Here is a 21,178-nt window from a genome sequence, read left to right on the forward strand (position 1 = left end):
CACTTCAGTAATGTTATGTGTATACATATTATTGTGCCACCAATCTCCAGAAGTTTTTCATCTTGCAAAACTGAAACTCTGTACCTGCTAAACGACTCCCCATTCCTCTCTCTTCATCCCCCGGCAACCCTCAGTCTGCTTTCTGCCTATAAATTTGACTACTCTGGATACCTTATATATGTGGAACTCTACAGCATTGGTCTTTTTGTGACTGGCTTATTTCAATTAGCATAAAGTTCTCAAGGTTCATCTGTGTTGCAGCATGCGTTGGAATGTCTTTCCTCTTTAAGACCAAATAATATTCCACTGTATGGATATACTGCATTTTATTTACCTATTCATCTGTTGATGGACACTGGGTAGCCTCCACCTTTGAGTATTGTGAATAATGCCACTATGAATATGGGTATACAAATGTGTCTTTGGGACTCTGCTTTTAATCCTTTGGATGTATACCCAGAAATGGGGAATGTCTTAGTCCATTTTGTGTTGCTCTAACAGAATACCACAAACTGGGTAATTTATAATGAAATTTAGATTTTAAAAGAAACAAATTTATGGCCGGGCGAGGTGGCTCATACCTATAATCTCAGCACTTTGGGAGGCTGAGGCAGGCGGATCACTTGAGGTCAGAGGTTCGAGACCAGCCTGGCCAACATGGCGAAACCCTTTCTCTACTAAAAATATAAAAATTAGCTGGGCATGGCGACACACACCTGTAGTCCCAGCTACTCAGGAGGCCGAGGTGGGAGAATCGCTGGAATCCAAGAGGCGGAGGTTGCAGTGAGCCAGATCGCACCACTGCACTCCAGCCTGGGTGACAGAGCAAGACTCTGTCCCAAAAAAAAAAAAAAAAAAAAAAAAAGAAGGAAAGAAAAAATGTATTATCTCATGATCCTAGAGACTGGGAGGTCTAAGACCAAGGGGCTGGCAGCAGGGACATCACATGGGCAGCAATCACAGATCACAGAGACACAGAGCACAGAAGGCTGGAGACTGGTTGGAGTTGGGGCAGTGGGAGGGAAGGGTGGGCTGTTTCATGTGCTGGATTTGGAAGAACAAGTAGAAATAACCAGACACAAAGTTCCAATTGTAATGACAATGCATGAAGTCCTCAACCTGGACTTCCAAGAACTGAACCATTAGTCACTTATGAGACATTGGGCAAGTTATTACTTTTTTTTTTTTTTTTTTTTTTGAGACAGAGTCTCACTCTGTCACCCAGCTGGAGTGCAGTGGCACAATCTTGGCTCACTGCAACCTCCATCTCCCACATTCAAGCAATTCTCCTGCGTCAGCCTCCCAAGTAGCTGGGATTACAGGTGTGTACCACTACACGCCGCTAATTTTTGTATTTTTAGTAGAGATGGGGTTTCACCACGTTGGCCAGGCTAGTCTCAAACTCCTGACCTCAAATGATCCACCCGCCTTGGCCTCCCAAAGTGCTGGGATTACAGGCATGAGCCACTGTGCCTGGCCATGTTATTACTTTTTTAAGCTCCCATTTTCTCAATGGTAAATGGAGATAGCATTATCCACCTGTTTGGATTGCTGTGAGAATTAAATGAAATAATCCAAATGAAGTGCTAAGTACAAAGCTTGATATGTAATAAGAATTGATACAAAGTCCACTGTGAATCATTATTAAACCGCGCCTCCTAATATGATAGTGGATGGTAAGTCAAGGGAGAATAACACATCTCTATAAATGCCCTTCCTAATCAAACTATGCTACTTGTTGGACAATTAATGTACATTGCTAACGAGTCTCTCTTTCACTCATGTCATTTGCTCCATAGTTGTTTGGTGATCCAAATGTTCTTCATGTCTGTACCATCCTAAAGGTGTCTTCAGATTCGAATCCAGTGGTCAGGGGCTGTGCCTACCTGGGTTTCCTCTTACTTGGCCTAGAGCCCAGGACAGCTCCGGTAGCTGCAGTTTCAGAAAGCACTTTAGAAATGAACAAGCTCACCCTGTAATCCTAGCACTTTGGGAGGCTGAGGCTGGTGGATCACCTGAGGTCAGGAGTTTAAGACCAGCCTGGTCAACATGGTGAAACCCCATCTCTACTAAAAAATACAAAAATTAGCCAGGCGTGATGGTGGCTGCCTGTAATCCCAGCTCGAGCAGCTGAGATGGAAGAATTGCTTGAACCCGGGAGGCGGAGGTTGCAGTGAGCCAAGATCATGCCATTGCACTGCAGCTTGGACGACAGAGGGAGACTCTGTCTCAAAAACAAAACAAACAAACAAAAAAGAAACGAACAAGCTCAGAGTCTCCTTGTCCACTAAGGGAGATGGAGGGCAGTGTATGTGGCTTGCCCCACACCGACAGCAGCATAAAAACGATGATGAGCAAGGCAGCACGTCTGCTTTCTTTTTTTTTTTTTTTTTTTTTTTTGAGACAGAGTCTTGCTCTGTCGCCCAGGCTGGAGTGCAGTGGCGCGATCTTGGCTCACTGCAAGCTCCGCCTCCCGGGTTCATGCCATTCTCCTGCCTCAGCTTCCCGAGTAGCTGGAACTGCAGGCGCCTGCCACCACACCTGGCTAACTTTTTGTATTTTTAGTAGAGACAGGGTTTCACCATGTCAGCCAGGATGGTCTCGATCTCCTGACCTCATAATCCACCCGCCTCGGCCTCCCAAAGTGCTGGGATTACAGGCGTGAGCCACCATGCCCGGCCAACACATCTGCTTTCATAGTTATCCTCTCAGCAGCTGGGGGACAGGCAGAGACAGGAGTTACTGTCTTTCAGGGCCATGCTTAGTCAGTCCTATGAAAGTTTCCCAGATACACATACACAGAGGGTGTCAGTTCAGGCTCAAAGGTGGCCTCCCAAAGCTGACCACCCCCTGGGAGTGACCTGTGTGTACAGCTGGCTTCCTGCTCCCCTGCTGGGGAAGAGGCTGTTGTTTGTTGTGTTTCTAAACAATGCTTTCAGGGCCGGCTTCCTCAGTGAGGAGTCCACTGCATCGTGACTTGGATCAAGAGGTCTGTGTTTTCTTTCTGCCCTATGCTTTAATATAATTATCATAACTGAAAAGGTAATGTAAGAAAGTTAATTAGAATATTAACTATACTCTAACAAAACAACTTGCTTGTTTTTTTTTTTTTTTTGGTATGTCACTGGCCACCTGAATAGATCACTTTACATTTTTGCCATTGTGGCATACTTCAATCTACAAGGGCAGTGAATGTATTTATTTTGGTGCCCTTTCATTACTTGGTGCTTGGTGCAATACTTGATACATAGCATGTGGCCAACAAATGATTATTGAATAAATATTTTTTTTTTTTGAGACAGAGTCTCGCTCTGTTGCCCAGGCTGGAGTGCAGTGGCATGATCTTGCCTCACTGCAACCTCTGCTGGCCAGGGTTCAAGTGATTCTCATGCCTTGGCCTCCTGAGTAGCTGGGATTACAGGCACTCGCCACCTTGCCTGGCTAATTTTTGTATTTTTAATAGAGATGGGGTTTCACCATGTTGGCCAGACTGGTCTCGAACTCCTAGCCTCAAGTGATCTGCCCACCTTGGCCTCCCAAAGTGCTCAGATTACAGGCATGAGCCACGGTGCCTGGCCTGAATGCTATTTTTTAATACACTGCTTTCATTGAGTGTAATAGGAACATTTCCCTATGCTTCTAGAGTAAAAACAATTATAATTTTTAATGTTTCCGTACCAGCAGAGAATCATAATTTATTAAAGGTTTCATTTAGTTTGAATTTTGACTGTTTCCTTTGCTGTTTTTACTATTGTAGATAATATTATCATAAAAATTTGCATGCACATTTTTTAGAACCTTTGAAATTAAGTGCCTTAGAATGAATTCCCAAGAATGGAATTACTGCATTTGGGAGGTGTGGACAATTTTATGATTCAGTGTGTGTTTCTCAAGGGTTTGCCCTCTCTACAGAACATATTCACGGGATATGTTCTAGTTAACCATAAAAGGCACAGAGGCCATTTCCAAAGGCCCCTAGCTGAGATCTCTTTGAAGGGTCTGAAGACATTCATTGGAGCACTAGCGGCCATCTCCGTTAGGTGGAACAGAGTAGATCTTCTGGTTTCTGAGTAATAAAGTAGATTATTAACAGAAATGATGCCTTTCCTCTTAGGTCCTGAAGCAAAATCCAAAAATGTGGCCTACCATAATGCAAAGTCTCTGAGAGGCAGCATAGCTCCAGGCAGTTCGTGCTTTGATGTTAAATGAAACTGTGTGATCGTAAAGCCTAAGTGAGACCTCTATTAATAGCTTTGATTGCTTCTCTAACAAACTGTCACAAACTTAGTGGCTTAAAACAATGCAAGTTTATTACCCTACAGTTAGGTTGACATGGGCCTAAAAGGGTCTCACCAGCCACAAGGCTGCATACCCTTCTGGAGGCTGTAGCGGGAATCTGCTTCCTTGCCACTTCCAACTTCCAGAGACCACCCTTGCCACTTCCAAATTCCAGAGATCGTTGCTTGGTTGCTGTTTGGGCCTCTTCCTCCATCTTCACAGTCAGCAAAGGTCAACTCTCTCTTCCCAAAGCCTGGAAAGTCTCTCCGATGTTAAAGGACTCACGTGATTACATTGGGCTCACCTGGGTAATCCAAGCTAATCTCCCATTTCAAGGTCCTTAACCTTAATCAATCTGTAAAATCCCCTTTGTTATGTAAGGTAATGTATTATAGGATCCAAGGATTAGGTCAGGGACGTGCGTGGGAGTGAGAGAGGTGGAGAGAGGGATTATTTTGGCTACTACAAGACCTAAAATGGGAATATATTTCTTTAATTAAAAATATATGCATCCTAAGAAAGACATAATAGACTTCGGGGACTCAGGGGGAAAGGATAGGAAGGGAGTAAGGGATAAAAGACTATAAATTGGGTTGAGTTAGACTGCTTGGGAGATGGGTGCGTCAAAATTTCACAAATCACCACTAAAGAACTTACTCATTTTACCAAATAGCACCTATTCCCCCAAAACCTATAGAAATAAAAAATTAAAAATGTATATATATGCACCCATGGAACATATAACATTATTTATCCACTTATATAACAAGTGACTAAATTGGGTGAGTCAAGTATTAAAATGAGCTCAGAGAACTCTTCATCCCCTGGAGGCATTCAGAGAAAGCTCTCTGGGATACCGTGCAGCCTGGCTGTCCATAACCTGTGACCCCAGGGCCAGGCCTGCCTCCCTTCTTCAAGCTCGGCACAACTGCCTGCTACTGTGGGAAGGTGGGGCTAGGGCAGAGGCATGACCTGGCATGGCGTCAGGCAGAGAGAGGGGATGAGAGTAGGAGCGAGGCCCTCAAGGTGGACCTGCTTAGAATGTCTCTGGTTCCTAGGCTCTGTGTGCAGAGCTTCCTTTTGCAAGGACATCTTCCTCCTTGGTGGGCCTCATCCATCCGCCTCCCCAGAGTATTGGATTTTTCTCGCCTAGATCTTGTATTTAGCAAAAGTTCCCCTAGAGAGGCTGCGTGATGAATGATCCTGCCACAGTTGTAGTGTGTGTGTGTGTGTGTGTGTGTGTGTGTGTGTGTGTCTGTGTGTCTGTGTGTCTGTGTCTGTGTGTCTTGGAGTTGCAAGACTTGGTTAGCTGAGGCTTTTGTTTTTCACTTGTGACTAACATGAATGGAAGTGTAATACAAACAAGGATAAGGAGAGCATCTCTCCCAGAAGCCTGGAAGTTAAGGGTGTGGGTGGAGAGAAGCCACTGAGCTCCGGAATATGGAACTGAGCGCAACACAGGCAGCAAGTGGCTTTCTTTTGGGATGCTATGATGGGCTCTGACCTGGGATTCAGGACCCACTGCATTTGACTCTGAATCCCAGCTCTTCGCGAATCATGAACGCATGTTGGCACCAGATCCTCTTTGAGCCCTCCAGTGAAGCCTCGGACTCACCACTAGATGGCGTCCGAGCTCGCGCTCTCCACCGCGGGGCAGCAAGGCGGCAGGAAGCGGTCCAGAGGTGCCTCAGTGGCCAGGGACAGGGAGGTGACAAGAGTCGCCTCCATCAGACACGGCCACTCCCACCCCTGGTTTTGCCTGATTCCATTGGAGTATCCATCAAGACTAAACTAGAAAGTTTTTGCTTCTCCATTCCCTGGGTCCAATCCTAGGGAAAATGTGGTCCTTTTGTTTCTGGGGACTCCCAAAAGGAAACGTGCACCTTCTCCAGTAAAAACTAATTTGTTTTGTAATTTATTTTGTTTATTTGTTTATAGGAAAAGGAGAGGCATACTAAATTGGGCTTGAGTTTTGGCTCTTACTTTCTAGGCAAAGTCCTCTCCGGGCCTCAATTTCTAGTTTATGAAATGAAACTAGAAATCCATCCCTGCCTCATGAAACTGCCTGAGTAAAATGCAGTAATGCTGTGTCATGTGTGTGGCACAGTTTCTGGCACTTAGTAGGCGCTTTATATCTTACTTCTATTCTAGGTGAATTGGAGCTCTATTTATTCACCTTTACATGTTCTTGTCTATCACAGCGCCTGACATCCTCCATGCAGAGGAACAAACTCACTAATGGAATTTGCAAACATTGATCTTCATCAACTATTCTATTACTGAAACACCAAATTTTGTGGAGGATTCAGAAGATTATATTACAAACTGTTGCCCACAGGGTCTAACAAAATAACTGGAGGAGACAAGATTAATGAAAACACATTTAACAGTGAACACAGAAGCTACTAAATGAAAAGTAATTAAAAATGTATGATCGGTCGTGCATGGTGGCTTATGCCTGTAACCCTAGCACTTTGGGAGGCCGAGGTGGGCAGATCATTTGAGGTCAGGAGTTCAAGACCAGCCTGGCGAACATGGTGAAATCCCATCTCTACTAAAAATACAAAAATTAGCTGGGTATGGTGGTGGGCACCTGTAATCTCAGCTACTAAGGAGGCTGAGGCTGGAGAATCACTTGAACCTGGAAGTGGAGGTTGCGGTGAGCCGAGATTGTACCATTGCACTCCAGCCTGGGCGACAGAGGGAGACTCTGTCTCAAAAAAATAAATTAAATAAAAATGTATGATATTGGCTGTTTATAACTAAGTTTATAGCTCCTCAAACAGAGCTCCGTTTCTTGAATTCTGACATTCAAGAGGCGAGTTGACATCTGGATTATTTGTTGATCATAGGCTGTATGTCAGATCCTAGAAGTTTTTATGGGAAGAAGAGGATGAATTTTGCAACGGGGATATTATTATGTCTAGAAAGCAAGCCTGGGAGCCGGTAGACCTCATGAGAGCTTCGAGCTTCCAAGTATGAAATAGAGGTGCCTGGAGACAGGAAAAAGGAGCCCCAAAAAGGAGGCGAAAGGACACTGAAGACAAAGTTAGCTACTGCACCATTCGGTGAATGATTTCTTCCTCATTCAGAGTGTGAATAACTCATATAATTATAATCTGGAAGCTACCTTAAACGTGTTGTGGCTTGATCTTGCACTCAATATAGGAGACTTTATATCGTATCTTTGACTAAAGGCATCCAAATCACAGCTTAAACACTTTCAGGGATGGGAATTCATTCCCTCGGAAGAAAGCCCGTTTCTTCATTAGACAGTTCTAGTTGTCATCATTCACCCCAAATTTCCTCTAGCTCCCCTTAAGGGTGCTAGTTCTGTGAGTTTCATCCCTCTCCCAGAGGTCAGTTCTTCAAATAGCCAAGAACTGCCATTGTATCTTCCTTAGCTTTTTCTCTCCAAATGTCCCCGCTGCCTACAAATATTTGTCAAGCGGCCCCTTGCCCCTCGTAGACCACGCTGTTTGGAGCAAAAGGAGCTCAAGGGGGCATCTTCCCCCTTGGCTTCCCGGCTACGTCATGACATGGCACTAGATGGCGCTGTGACCACGGCCCCACCCAGGTATTCCAGGTACTCAAGAGTGACTTGAGGGTTTCCCTAAGAAGCCAGTGCCAACCTCATCTTGCCCCATATGCCTGTCTTCCTCAGTGACCACCAGAAGTCCAAATCCAGCCTCTGGAGGGACTCAGTATCACCTTCACTCTCGTTCCCGACCTCTGTGTCTGTCTGATGAGGGTATCTGATATTATGTCTATCCAGTACCCTGCACTCCTGCTTTTTTGAAACAGGGTCTCGCTCTGTCACCCAGGTTGGAGTGTAGTGGCACAGTCACTGCAGCCTCGATCTCCTGGGCTCAAGAGAGCCTCCTGCCATAGGCACGTGCCACCACGCCTGGCTAATATTTAATTTTTTTGGTAGAGACGGCGTCTCCCTATGTTGCCCAGGCTGGACTTCAACTCCTGGGCTCAAGCGATCCTCTGCCTTGGCCTCCCAAAGTGTTGGGATTACAGGTGTGAGCCACCATGCCTGGCCTGCCCTCCTCTTGATGTCAGCAAAGCAGTTTTCCTTTGAAGGGCCACTTCCCCGCTTGCCAACATGTGATTCTGGTGGGTTCTGCCCACCCAGAGTGGCCACTAGAGATGCAGCCTCACTAACCACCATGGATGGCTCAGGCTGAAATTTCCCTGGTGCCATAAGGGAGGTCCACACTCCCCAGGGTTGTTGGGCCACCATCTGCTGCTGCATGGGGAGAGGCTGCCTGGGAGTGTGGCCAACACAGAGGACAGCAAGGCAGGGAGACCAAAGGAGAGCCCCTGGAGGACATGGCTTGGGTCCCTGAGCTGATCAGCACTGAAGCCAGCAAGCAGCCCCACTACACTTCCAGTTATATGGACAAACACATTCTCTTCTCTTTTGCTAAATCTAGCTTGAGTTGGATTTCTGACATTTGAAAATGGAGAGTCCTAATATAATCCCTAACCTGACTTGATCTCCCACGCCTCCTCTGGGGTGGAGGGTTGCACATTTTTATAATCCCTAATCTGACTCGATCTCCCACGCCTCCTCTGGGGTGGAGGGTTGCACATTTTTATAATCCCTAACCTGACTCATTCTCCTACGCCTCCTCTGGGGTAGAGGGTTGTATATTGTATTGTCCTCTCTTGGAGCACTTACGGAGTGATCAGCACATTCTCTGGTATTCTTTTTTTCTTTAAAGAGACAAGGTCTCACCCTATTGCCCAGGGGGCAGTGCGATCATAGCTCACTGCAGTCTCGACCTCCTGGGCTCAAGCAATCCTTTTGTTTTAGCCTCCTGAGGAGCTGAGACTACAAGTGTGCACCCACCATGCCTGGCTAATTTTTAAATATTTTGTAGAGACAAGGGTTTCACCATGTTGCTTAAGTTGGTCTCGAACTCTTGGCCCTAAGTGATCCTCCCACCTCAGCCTCTCAAAGTGCTGGGATGACAGGCGTGAGCCACGTACCCGGCCGTGTAGTCTCTCTTTCCTGCTACCTGCTTTTGTTACCTGAAATCTGGCTCCTTCCTTCAGGACACTGGTTCCCCTGCAGCCCTCTCAGAAGGGTGGAGTTTTCCCCCTCACCTTCATGTACCTGAGGGCCAAGCTGCCGCCACCCGTCCTCCCTACTGTGCCTAACAGTCTACTGGCCACTGCCCCAGTGCTTACTGAAGACCTCAACTCAAGGCTCATTGACTCTGTCTGCCCAATCCTAGCCACTGTACCCAGCTATTTCAACATCCACATGGATGATTCTTCCAATGCCCTGGTCTCCATCACTTTAGCTGCCTTACACCTCATTATCACAGGTTTCCATGTCACAATATCCAAAATCTCAAGTTCAAGCATGCCACTCTGACCATCATCTTTTACGCTTACAGCTCACTGACTCTACCACCCACAGTGTCTTTGACCTTGAGACTGCCAATGTATGGGGTCCCTGTATTCTAGATTCTGTGATCCCTCGTCATAATTTCACATCCCTGAAAACACCCTAAATCCCTTTGTCTGTCTTTTCTTCCATTATACTCACCATACCATATTTTTTCTATTGTGACTTCTTTACACTGGGAGCTGTTTCTCAGATCCCTTCCTCTGAAAAGGTCAGAGTTAGATTTGGCCAACAGTGAAAACGTGCAAGATTTTGGAGTCAAGGTGAAACAGCAGCCATTATTCTGAAGGTTGCCATTGATTAGAGGTAGACACCCAGGCTGGTGTCTGTCATTGGTTAGGGGTAGACACAGGAGCACCAGAGATTCCAGGGTGCACTCCCTCTTTCCCTCGCTGGGACTCTCTTCCTAACTGCTGCTCTACTGACCAACAGTGACCTCAGGCCCATCTCCAGGTACTTTGATGTGAACTTGCAGAGCAGCAGCACTCTTCTATGAACTTTGACACCAGCCCCTTTTGCAGTCCGCTTTCAGCAACTGAATGTGGCTAGCTTCCACATAGCCTGCAGTTCCAAGCCGTTCTCCAGTGCAGGCCTGTTTGGTGGCTTTTCTCTGATCCTTCAGTTCCATATTTGGATTCTTACTTCCCTGGCTCCTCCTACAATTGTGTAAGTTCTAATTGCTAGAATAAGCTCCTTATTCCACAGTACTCACCTCATTCAATCTCAGTGATTTGCTTTTCTTTGAGCTTGCCCCAGATAGACTGAGTATTGCTGGAGAAAATACACAACCCTACTGACTGATTACACTTTAATTAATAACTGCATAGTAGTCATCCAATTTTGTCTGTGTAGACCCTTTCCTTCTTCTGTAAGTAATAACGCACGATGTTGCTGGAGGAAGTCTCCAGACCCAACTGAACACAGTCTGGGGGCTATTCTTCTTTGACTCAGTCTGGCCAATCAGTTACTCTCTCCTTGGAATCAGGATGCAGAGCAATGGAACTCTTTCATCCTAACAGCTGCAATCTATGACTGCTGTCCATGTGTTCCTGCTACCGAGAACTCTGCTCCTTCAGCTTTTTCCTTCACCATGTGAACTACTCTTCATTCTTCCAATAGATTTGTCGTTGAACTTAGCCAGACTCCAAGTCTAAGGCTTGCCTGCTTTATCCATTGTCATCCCAGTGCTGGACAGAATAGAGTCAAAGCTAGAGACCTGTGACACACCAGGAGAGACCTTCCCTTCCCTCAGGCTGATACCGAATAAAGGATCAATCTTTCTCTAGGTTCTCCTTACCATACCATCATGGCATGCTTTCCTAGTATTCACAATACTCAAGACCCAGAAATGTTTCAGAATAACAAGATCTCATTGAATCACCTGGGAAAGAGCCTTGGACCCAACACATTAGCTTTCCAGTTGTTTTCTTTGATACGTCCCAGATCTGTGAACTTGCACAAGCCACTCCCATTCTGCTTTTTTTTGTTGTTGTTGAGACAGAGTCTAACTCTGTCACCCAGGCTGGAGTGTGGTGGCGCAATCTCGGCTCACTGCAACCTTCACCTCCCAGGTTCAAGCGATTCTCCACCTTAGCTTCCTGAGTAGCTGGGATCACAGGCGTGTGCTACCACGCCTGGCTAATTTTTGTATTTTTAGTAGAGACCGGGTTTCGCCATGTTGGCCAGGCTGGTCTTGAACTCCTGACCTCTGGTGATTCACCTGCCTAGGCCTCGCAAAGTGCTGGGATTACAGGTGTGAGCCGCCGTGCCTGGCCTCCACTCCCATTCTCCTAAGTGCAGGATACTACTGCTGTAAAATGAGTATATAGATACACTTTGAGATTAGTTGCAGGGTCCTGGGTAAGTGAATCTCTCAAGGTGTATGAGTGCTCAAGATCTATAATTCTGTGACTTCCACTAAGGACTTCATCATAAATGTGGTGACCTTTTAGCATCTGCTGTAGTGTCATTTATAATACTGAAAAATTCTGGGAAAACCTGAATAACCACCAATAAAGGATAAATTTGGATGTACACATGTAATGGGCCATTTGGTGGTAGCTAAAAAATCATGTTCTAGAAGGATTCTTAATGATGTGGAGAAATAAGTTAAAATAAGAGAAAAATACAATTTTTTTATATACAAAGTGGTCCCAGAACAATGTGGGAGGAAGGGAATATATGAAAATATCAAGGTGATTATTTGGAGGTGGCAGGGTTGTTAATCATTTTTTCCATTCCATGTACTTGTCTCTGTGTTTTAACATTTTTACAATGAATATGTGTGACATATACTGTAAGAAAAAAGACCTGGAAAACATTTTGAGATACCTGATCTATATATTCTAAATTCTATGCCTTATACATGTTTATGTCCTTTAACTATATAAATTTCATTTTGGAGATTTACTATCAGACAGTAATTCAAATTATAGAGTATGCTATAATACACAGATGTTAATGTAACATTCTGTGTAATAGTGTAAAATTGAAAAAAGCCTAATAATGCAGGAATGCTCAGAGAAGGATACGCCATCTAATTAAAATCAAAGGTGGACTTTTAAAATTGTGTATATGAAGTCTATAATAACAAAGAAAGTTTATGAAGGAATGTTAAGTGAGAAACAATAAAATTATATTCTGATGATGTCTATGGCATTTGAAACAAACAAAAATAATACATTGAAATAATCTGCAATAAAGGTAATTATTTTGGGTGCTGAGAGTTCAGGTAATTATAAAATATGACTTGGCTTTTCTACGCTTGCACCAACCTAATAAATAGTCGTTATTTATGTAAACAGGAAAAACGTGCAATTATTATTATTATTTTTCTGCAGTGAAAACATTTATTTTACAGCAGTAATCTTTATTTCAGGTCAACATTCAGACATACAAGACGGAGATCACCATGCGAACCCAGCCTGGCCCTTAGATGTGTGTGCTCGAGCCAGGATCATCCAGAGTCTGATAGCGCCTGCACCCCAACACGGTTGGATTCCAGGACGCCAGTGCCAAACCCAGAGAAAGGACAACCAGCTTCCATGCATTTGCATTTAATTTTTAAAAACAATACATATTTCAGTGTTAACTTCCTCCCCTCACCTGGCTTGAAATATTTTCCCCATTTTCTAGGGAAACAAAATCTACCAAAAGGTGCCGCCTGCAAGACCCCGGGCCCAGCCACTTCTGGAGGGTGGTGCTGTGTGGACTCCTCTGGGGCCAGGACAGGGCCCCTTCCTGGGCTCCTCTTCAGATGCAGCTTTGCCACTGTTTGTATCTGTTGCTTAGAAAATCGTCTTTAATGTTTCAAGTGAGGAAAGGGTTTCCAGTCACCTCCTAGATTTCACACCGGGACACACACCTGGGTCAGGTGAGCATGACAGAGCCCCCAGGATGGGCACCTGACTCTGCAGACCAGAGGCCAGTGCCGGTGGGGGCCATGGCAGTGCCCTGGGCACACACACTCTGCACACTGTGGGCTCAGTGGTTCCTTCTGTGCACCTGCTAGGAAAGCTCCTGAAGGTCCCTGCCCGACTTGTCAAGAAATCAGAAGCCGTTTTAGAGCCACATTTTATTGTACTTGTTGCTTCACCGCTGGACAGCAGCATGACATGCTTTGTGCATGATGTATACATATACATACATGTACACACAAGGACACACCACAGCCTGCACTCACAGCATGTGACAACACGAACCGTTGCTGGTAAGGACAGTAAAAATGTAGCTTTTGCCAATTCCACAGGACAATGACTCACAACCAAAATAACAGGCACAGATCAGTCCTGCGCCACACTATTTGGGTTCCCAGCTCCAAATACTGGGAGTGAGATCAGTGACTTCGTGTCCCCTCATGAGATGTCCCCACAGTAGGATGCACTGAGCCAGAGCTAAGGGAGGGCGGACAAGCCCCACGTTGAACTCTGCCTGCAGCACCTGGACCCTCCCGGGGCAGCCTGCATGCTGATGCCCCTGCAGCACAAGGCTCGCCCGGAACAGAACGCCCTGGGCTCGGCAGGACAACGGGTGCCACCACTGGCAACACGTAGCACCTGAGAGCAGCCTCGACTGCGTGAGGCTCCAGGGCCTTCCCTGGATGGCAGCAGCTGACGTGGAGATGAAGCTTCCTGCTGGGCACATGCACATGCCAGTTTCTTTTCCTAATAGGTCCCCACTGGGTGCTGGCTGCATCAACTGAACATCAGAGAACTAGGAAAGTTCACAAACACTGAGCAGTAGTATCTAAAGCAGTTTAAAAATAAAGCCAAAAGGAAGACCAAAAAATCCCTCATCACTGAGCGGAGACAAATCTACATACCAGCAGCTGCCTTGAAAGGGCCGGCGGGGCCGCTCCCATGCCTCCTGCAGGTCAGAAGCAATCAGTGCTGCCTGGACCCCCTTGTGAACCGAACATGCCTCAAAAACACGACGACCCCAGCAGGCCCCTGGCAGCACCCAGCAGCAGCGTCCAATGGGACGTTCTGTGCCCATGGCCACAGTGGCTCACAAGCATCATCCGCAGCCCAAGAGTGAGGAGTCAGGGTCCTGTCACTGCCACCAGCAGGCAGGGGTGCTGGGGGCATTCTGATCTGTTAGCATGTGGACAAGGAGGCGCGTAAGCTGCCCCCGGGGACTCACCACCTCTTTTAATTAATAGGGAAACAGTCCACTCAAGAAAAAGAGAAAACCTGGGAAGTTCTTTTTCCTGAATTAAGACAAGGCCTTAAAACCTAAAGGGCAGAACACCGGAAACAGTTTTGCTTCCAGGTCAGGCAGTGGGAGGAACTCCAGGCCCCGAGTGTCTGGGCTTCCTAGGTGTCTTATAATCACAATCACCACTGTGAGAATTTTCATGGCCATGATTTATTTAGGTTTTACAAATTCTGTAGGAACTGGGTTCCACAAACCTCCAGACCTGCTCCTCTTTCCCACCCTACCCCACCCTTTGCGGGGAGCTGCATGGTTCTAAAAAATGGTCCATTGGACTCTGTAACTGAAAAGCCACCTGGCAAGGGGCCCACTTTGATGGGTACCAAAGGGCCTTGGAGTGTTCTAGCCACAGAGCTGTGTGCAGGCACAACAGAGGGCCTGGTGGGGCTGAGCCAGGCCCCCTGACAGGTGGCTTTCTACTTTAGGTCCAAGCTTAGAACCTGGCTCTTGGCCAGTCTGGGGAAAAATAACTCACTTCCTAAGCTACATCTGCAAAAATTGCAAAGGCTGAGTACAGCCAGCATTTGAGGCTGAACTTGCTGCTGTGTTGAACGGCACGGAGGCACCCCAACGTCTCGCTGCCTCGCATTTCAGGATGGGCCAAACAATGAATTTCTTATTCTTTTAGGAGAGGTCTGATTTTGACAAATTATTTCTAATTTAATATCACAGTGCATAGCTCTCCTCTCATCAAAGGTCTTCATGATCATTTTAGGGAGAAAAACCAAAGAAAAGTGAGACAAACAAAACTGCCCCAGGACTTGGTGCTGGCAGCCAGCTCATCACCCACATGGGGATCCGCAATAGGGGTCAGCTGGGGGCCCTCAACCAGCACCCCGCTCCTAAGCACGTCCAGATTTGTCCTCACCCATGTCCCTTCTGGCAACTTCCTGGTCAACCTCAACCCACCCCTCTGCACAGCCTTGGGTGGGCCGCTGAGGGCCATGAGTGAGCTGGGGCCATGAGTCAGCAGGCAGGCCGGGAAAAAGGGCCTCAGGAGACTCATCTGGTTGGTCCCAGCCAGAGCCACCACACACAGCCTCTTCCTCAGCTTCATCTCTGCTGAGAACTCTGCAGCGGCCACCATGGATGTTCTGCAGAAGCCAGGCCCACTGAGTCTGCAGCATGGGGCCAAAGGCAGGCCCAGCATATCCCGTGAGCCACAGAGTGGGGGCAGCTCTGAGCCCTCGGCCAGCACAGGGACATCAGACCCGTTTCCCCCACTCCTCTACCCAGGGCGCCACCAACAAGGTCTAGGACAGACAAAAGACTGACTTCCAATGGTCCACACGTGGATTCCGTGGTCTGGCTGCTGGCCTCCCAGGGACCCAACCCTTCTGAGCCAGAGGGGTCACTCTGGTCCAGTCAGTCCTTCCTCCAGGGACATAACGAATCTGGCTCTGCCTGAATCATCGATGACAGGGCAAAGGCAACTGGAGCAGATGGGAGCTCTGGCAAACACGGGAGGAGGGTCTTGGAAGAGCCCCCGTCCCCAGCGGCTAGATGCTTACACATGGACGATCTACTCTCCTGACTGTGGCTCATCAGGCTGGTGCTACCATCTGTGGTTGTAAAGGTCCAAAGAGGGCTACGGAAAGGACAGGTGGGCTGGAAGGAATGTGGAGAATGACCCCAGGACAGGGGAGGAGGAGACTGGCCCCATCAATCCAGTTCACAGCCGGGAAAAGTGCAGGAAGACAGACAAACGACCCCAATGTGGGCGAAGGACACACCTCCAAGGACTGGAGCCGCAGAGTCCACGTGACAAGGAGACCCAGGATAGAAACACTGTGCGGAGGACACGGTGTCAACCTCGGAAGGGGCCTCCTATGCTTTCCACACCAAATTCCCCCACGGGAGAAACCCTGCCACAAGGCCCAGGAAACCACAGACCCCAAGCCAACTGTGCCTAGCACAGACACCAAGGAATGACAGCGATGCCAGTGACGCCAGGAGGACTTGGCCCCTAGCCCCATCATCGGCTGTATGATGATCGGTGTGTCTGCGGCCTCCCTCTCGTCAGACTGCAGCCTTGGGGGACACGTAGAACTCTGTCTCCTCGCCCTCAGGGGCCTTGAGCTTACACTTCCCGCAGCACAGCAGCGGTTGAAGCAGCACCACAGACAGCAGCAGCAGTAGCAGCAGGTGAGGAGGCTGCAGAAGACAAACAGGGCCTTGGCCCCCCCGGCTGGACAGCACGAGGTAGGTGTTCACGTTCTCTTCCCCAAACTGTTCGGCCAGGTAGAGCCCCAGCGAGCCGTAGTTGTCATAGATGTTCCTTTATGTGGTGTCCGTCAGGATGGCTTGGGCCTTGTTGATCTCCTTAAACTTGTCTGCGGCCTCCAGGTTGTCAGGGTTCTTGTCGAAGTGATATTTCAACGCAAGTTTCCGATAGGACTTTTTAATGTCATCTGAGGTTGCGTTCTTGTCCAGCCCAAGACTGTGGCACAATGATTCCCCAGAGGTAGACAGTGAACGCTGTCTCTGGTCTGCCCTGTTAGGCTAATCTGCCCATCCGCCCGCCCTCCCGCCGGCTCCATGGCTCCTGCTCCCCGCTCTGCGACGCTGCTGGGCAGTGGCCAACGCAGTCCTCAGCCTGGAGACCCTGGGTGGCGGCCGCAGCGGCAATGGCAGAGGGCGCCGGTGCAGCGCTCACAGCGGCAGCGGCAGCGGAGACGCCGCAATTATTTTAAAATAAAAAAATACCTACTCTATGGAAGGGAGATTGATGAGTTGAGTTTCTCTCTTCCTGGGGTTGGGTGGAGACAGGACTGATAAACTGCTGTCCTTATTCAAGGGCCTCAAGGCCCTACCCCCAGAGTAGAGGCTCCCTCGTTCCGAGTTGTCACATAAAACAAACTCCCTCCAGCCAGATGCAGCCTGGGCCCTTGAAAGCTCAGCTCAGGATGTGGGTCTCTCCTAGGGTTGCTGGAGATCTTCAGGAAGATAGGGAGTGGCCTTCTCTCAGCACTTTCTTCCCCAGCCTGCTCCAGCCACAAAAGTCCCCTGTCAGGTTCATTACCACCTTCTCCTATTCCCTTCCTGTGAATGCTTCTGTCAGCAGTTTTTTTGGTAATGATGATGGTGATGGGTGATAATAGCTTCCTGAGTTCTTATGACAGGCCAATCATGTTACACAGAGCATTTCTGAGAATCTTCACAACGTTCAGTATGTACACACCTTATGAGACATGCACAGTTCTCCTCATTTTACGGAGGAGAAAGCTGAGATTTAGAGATAAATTGATTTCCTCCAGATCACATTGACAGTTACTGGCAGATCTAACTGACTAGCTCCAAGTCCTTGCTCTTAACCCTGTCTTGATGTCTTAACCCTCCACTTGAACTCTAGCCTGTAATGCTGTCTTCTCCTCCTGCAGGAACCAGCCCATTATTTAAGGTGGACATGACTTTTTTTTTTTTTTCCCCAGGCTGGAATGCAGTGGTGCGATCGCGATCTCGGCTTATTGCAACTTCTGCCTCCTGGGTTCAAGCAATTCTCCTGCCTCAGCCTCCTGAGTAGCTGGGATTACTGGCATGCGCCACCATGCCTGGCTAATTTTTGTTTGCTTGTTTTTGTTTTTTGTTTTTTGTTTTTTTGAGACTGAGATTTGCTCTTGTTGCCCAGGCTAGATTACAGTGGTGCGATCTTGGCTCACCACAACCTCCACCTCCCGGGTTCAAGCAATTCTCCTGCCTCAGCCTTCCTGAGTAGCTGGAATTACAGGCATGCGCCACCATGCCCAGCTAATTTTGTATTTTTAGTAGAGATGGGGTTTCTCCATGTTGGTCAGGCTGGTCTCGAACTCCTGACCTCAGATGATCCCCCAGCCTCGGCCTTCCAAAGTGTTGGGATTATAGGCGTGAGCCACTGCGCCTGGCCTGTTTTTGTTTTTTTTTGAAATGGAGTCTTGCTCTGTTGCCAGGCTGGAGTGCAGTGGTGCCATCTTGGCTCACTGCAACCTCTGTCTCCTGGGCTCAAGTGATTCTCCTGCCTCAGCCTCCCGAGCAGCTAGGACTACAGGCGCGCACCACCACACCCAGCTAAGTTTTGTATTTTTAGTAGAGACGGGGTTTCACCGTTGGCCAGGATGGTCTCGATCTCTTAACCTCCTGATTAGCCCGCCTCGGCCTCCCAAAGTTCTAGGATTATAGGCGTGAGTCACCGCGCTGGGCCTAATCTTTTATTTTTAGTAGAGATGGGGTTTCGCCATGTTGGCCAGGCTGGTCTCAAACCCCTGACCTCAAGTGATCTGCCTGCCTCGGCCTCTCAAAGTGCTGGGATTACCAGCATGAGCCACTGCGCCCGGCTTGGACGTGACTTTCTTATATCATTCTCCAGCCATCATTCTCCAGGTACCCTTCTTCCTGTACCTCCCTGAGATCTGGGGCAGCAGTTTCAGTAGCGTGTGTGTGTGTGTGTGTGTGTGTGTGTGTGTGTGTGTGTACACCTCTGTATTTCATATACACACTCCAATTATAGCTTCCCATTATCCACTGAATGACATTTAAAGGATGAAATTGAAGTGACTTGGACAAAAGTCATAAAGCTTCTGTGCACAAAATACATATTTGTTGTTGTCTGTATAGGTGTCTCATGTGGGCAGAAGGTGCCCGACTTTTCCCTGTGTCAGCCTGCAGCACCTCAAGGAGTGCCTGGCACATCACGTGGACTCAATAAAAATTTTCTAAATAAATGAATGAAAGAAAAAACATGAATATTTTAATGATATCAGAATCTTAAAGTTTCAGTTTCTTCATCTGTAAAATAGGTATGATTATTTTCTCTCCCACTAGATTAAAAGCTTCTTAAGGGTGGGGAATGGATTGTATTCCGGGTCGTGTCCCTAACACCAGGCGCACTGCTAGGGACATAGGATGTACTCAATCAAAGTCAACTGGCCAAAGTGAATTCCCTGAAACTCCCAGGAGAGGTCTGAGAATGGAAGAAGTAAGGCCTAGAACATGCCCTGGACCCACCTTCCTTCCTTCCTCCCTCCTTCCCTCCCTCCCTGACTCTCTTTCTCCCTTTCTCCCTTCTTTCCCTTCCTTCCCTTTCTTCCCTTCCCTCCCTTCCCTCCCTTCCTTTCCTTTCTTTCTTTCCTTTCTTTCTTTATTTGCTTTCTTTCGACGGAGTCTTGCTCTGTTGCCCAGGCTGGAGTGCACTGGCGCGATCTCTGCTCACTGCAACCTTCACCACCTGTGTTCAAGCAATTCTCCTGCCTCAGCCTCCCGAGTAGCTGGGATTACAAGCATCCGCCACTACCCCTGGCTAATTTTTGTATTTTTTTTTTTTTAATAGAGACGGGGCTTTACCATGTTGGCCAGGATGGTCTTGAACTCCTGACCTCAGGTGATCCACCTGCGTCAGCCTCCCAAAGTGCTGGGATTACAGGCGTGAGCCCCTGGGCCCAGCCGCCCTGCACATTTCTTAGAGAAGAGCATTTTGGTGTTAAATTATTGAAATGAATTGTATTATCTGCCCCCTTACTGCAGAGTCTCATGTGCGAAGTCCAGGGAAAAGTGGTCCCTGGAACCCAAAACCAAGCCTTGTGGATCCCAAAGCCAATTTCCTCATTCCTACTGGTTTCCTTCTTATTCTGCCTCCATTAAAATGTCAGATGCCTCCATTGTGATCATTATCTCACTGCTTATTATCAGGGATAAGCAGAGCTTCACTGAGTGCAGGTAGAAGGCACAGGATTAACACCTGGAAGGGGGCCTGCTTCAGGAGTTGGAAGAAACGCCTGCCAAACCTCACCTGTCAGCCAGGGCCACGCGGCCAGAAGCTGTTTTCTGAGCTCACCTAGGCATTAGCACCTTGGTTGTTGACCCCTGGGAGGAGATTTCTTAAAAGTACCTTGCAACCATTTTATCCCTTTGCCATTATTTTTTTTCCAGGGGTGAGAGGAGAATTCTGCCCCCATAGCTTGTCAACATCTCTTCAGCTTGGTGGCCCACCCAGTCCACCCAGCAGAGCGACCTGCCCCACACCAGTGGCTCGCATGGGCCTTCTTATCTCCTTGGCCCAGCTGAATCTTGGTGAGCTGGTAGCGAGTTATGATCTGGGCATCCTGGAGGAGCCAGCTTCCAGGGTAGCATCAATTGCTGGGAGGGGTCTGTGGTCTGGAAGTCACATCTAGAGGTATGCAGCAAAGCCAGGTCAAGGCAAACACTATTGCCTTGTAGTTGCCTGAAGGGATAATCAGCGTGGCAGGAGGGTGTGGGAGGAAAAGGGAATAGTGGCCCCGCCCATTTCACCTTGGTGCCAGGGTGGAGTTCACAGACTAATTACAGGTTAAGGAGCTTAAGGCTTTCCACATTGCTTTCTTCCTCCTCTGTCTGCCTCACCTTCTCCTTCAGAACCACCAGGACCTATAGCAGTCCCACGGTGCTCTCCAGTCTCAGGGTTGGTGGCCAGCGTGGTGTCCCTGTGCTTTACCATGTCTTTCCATTATGTTTTCATTGTTTCTTTTCCTGCCCCATCTTGGTGCCCAGTAAGCCTACCCCCCCATTACAAAAATAACTACAACAAAAATAATTTAATACTGATGAGGCACGTCAGGCATGCAGTATCTTATTACATTGTCAAACCACGTGGATTGGGTATGTCATGCCCATTTTATAGCTGGGGAAATTGAGCCCTGGAGAAATTGAGAAACTTGTCCAAGGCCACCCAGCTGGTAAGTGGCTGGCCAGAGCCCCCACCCACACCTGCCCATGTGGGCCTGCTTCAAGGTCTGGATCACTCTGGCATCTTCC

At 47.8% G+C, this 21,178-nt stretch overlaps 1 long non-coding RNA gene and 1 pseudogene across 3 annotated transcripts in view, besides 2 other annotated features; one reads left to right on the forward strand and one right to left on the reverse strand.

Moving 5' to 3' along the window:
• ENTPD4-DT (ENTPD4 divergent transcript) overlaps positions 1-21,178 on the forward strand; it is a 37,125-nt gene that overhangs the window by 8,852 nt on the left and 7,095 nt on the right. For all 3 annotated transcript variants that reach the window (NR_186531.1, NR_186532.1, NR_186533.1), the window contains one exon: positions 12,582-16,618. This is a non-coding gene — a long non-coding RNA (ENTPD4 divergent transcript). The remainder of the gene's footprint in view (positions 1-12,581; positions 16,619-21,178) is intronic.
• Positions 2,606-3,105: an enhancer, noted in NCBI's record as "H3K4me1 hESC enhancer chr8:23326741-23327240 (GRCh37/hg19 assembly coordinates)". NCBI's record gives its function as "activates a minimal SCP1, AML or CMV promoter by ChIP-STARR-seq in naive H9 embryonic stem cells {active_cell/tissue: H9 hESC(naive)}" and the evidence as "EXISTENCE:reporter gene assay evidence [ECO:0000049][PMID:30033119]".
• On the reverse strand, positions 14,365-17,094 carry LOC646708 (DnaJ heat shock protein family (Hsp40) member C5 pseudogene; annotated as a pseudogene).
• Positions 14,978-15,946: an enhancer, noted in NCBI's record as "H3K4me1 hESC enhancer chr8:23339113-23340081 (GRCh37/hg19 assembly coordinates)". NCBI's record gives its function as "activates a minimal SCP1, AML or CMV promoter by ChIP-STARR-seq in naive H9 embryonic stem cells {active_cell/tissue: H9 hESC(naive)}" and the evidence as "EXISTENCE:reporter gene assay evidence [ECO:0000049][PMID:30033119]".

Source organism: Homo sapiens, chromosome 8 (genome assembly GCF_000001405.40).
Source record: "Homo sapiens chromosome 8, GRCh38.p14 Primary Assembly".
Lineage (NCBI taxonomy): Eukaryota > Metazoa > Chordata > Mammalia > Primates > Hominidae > Homo > Homo sapiens.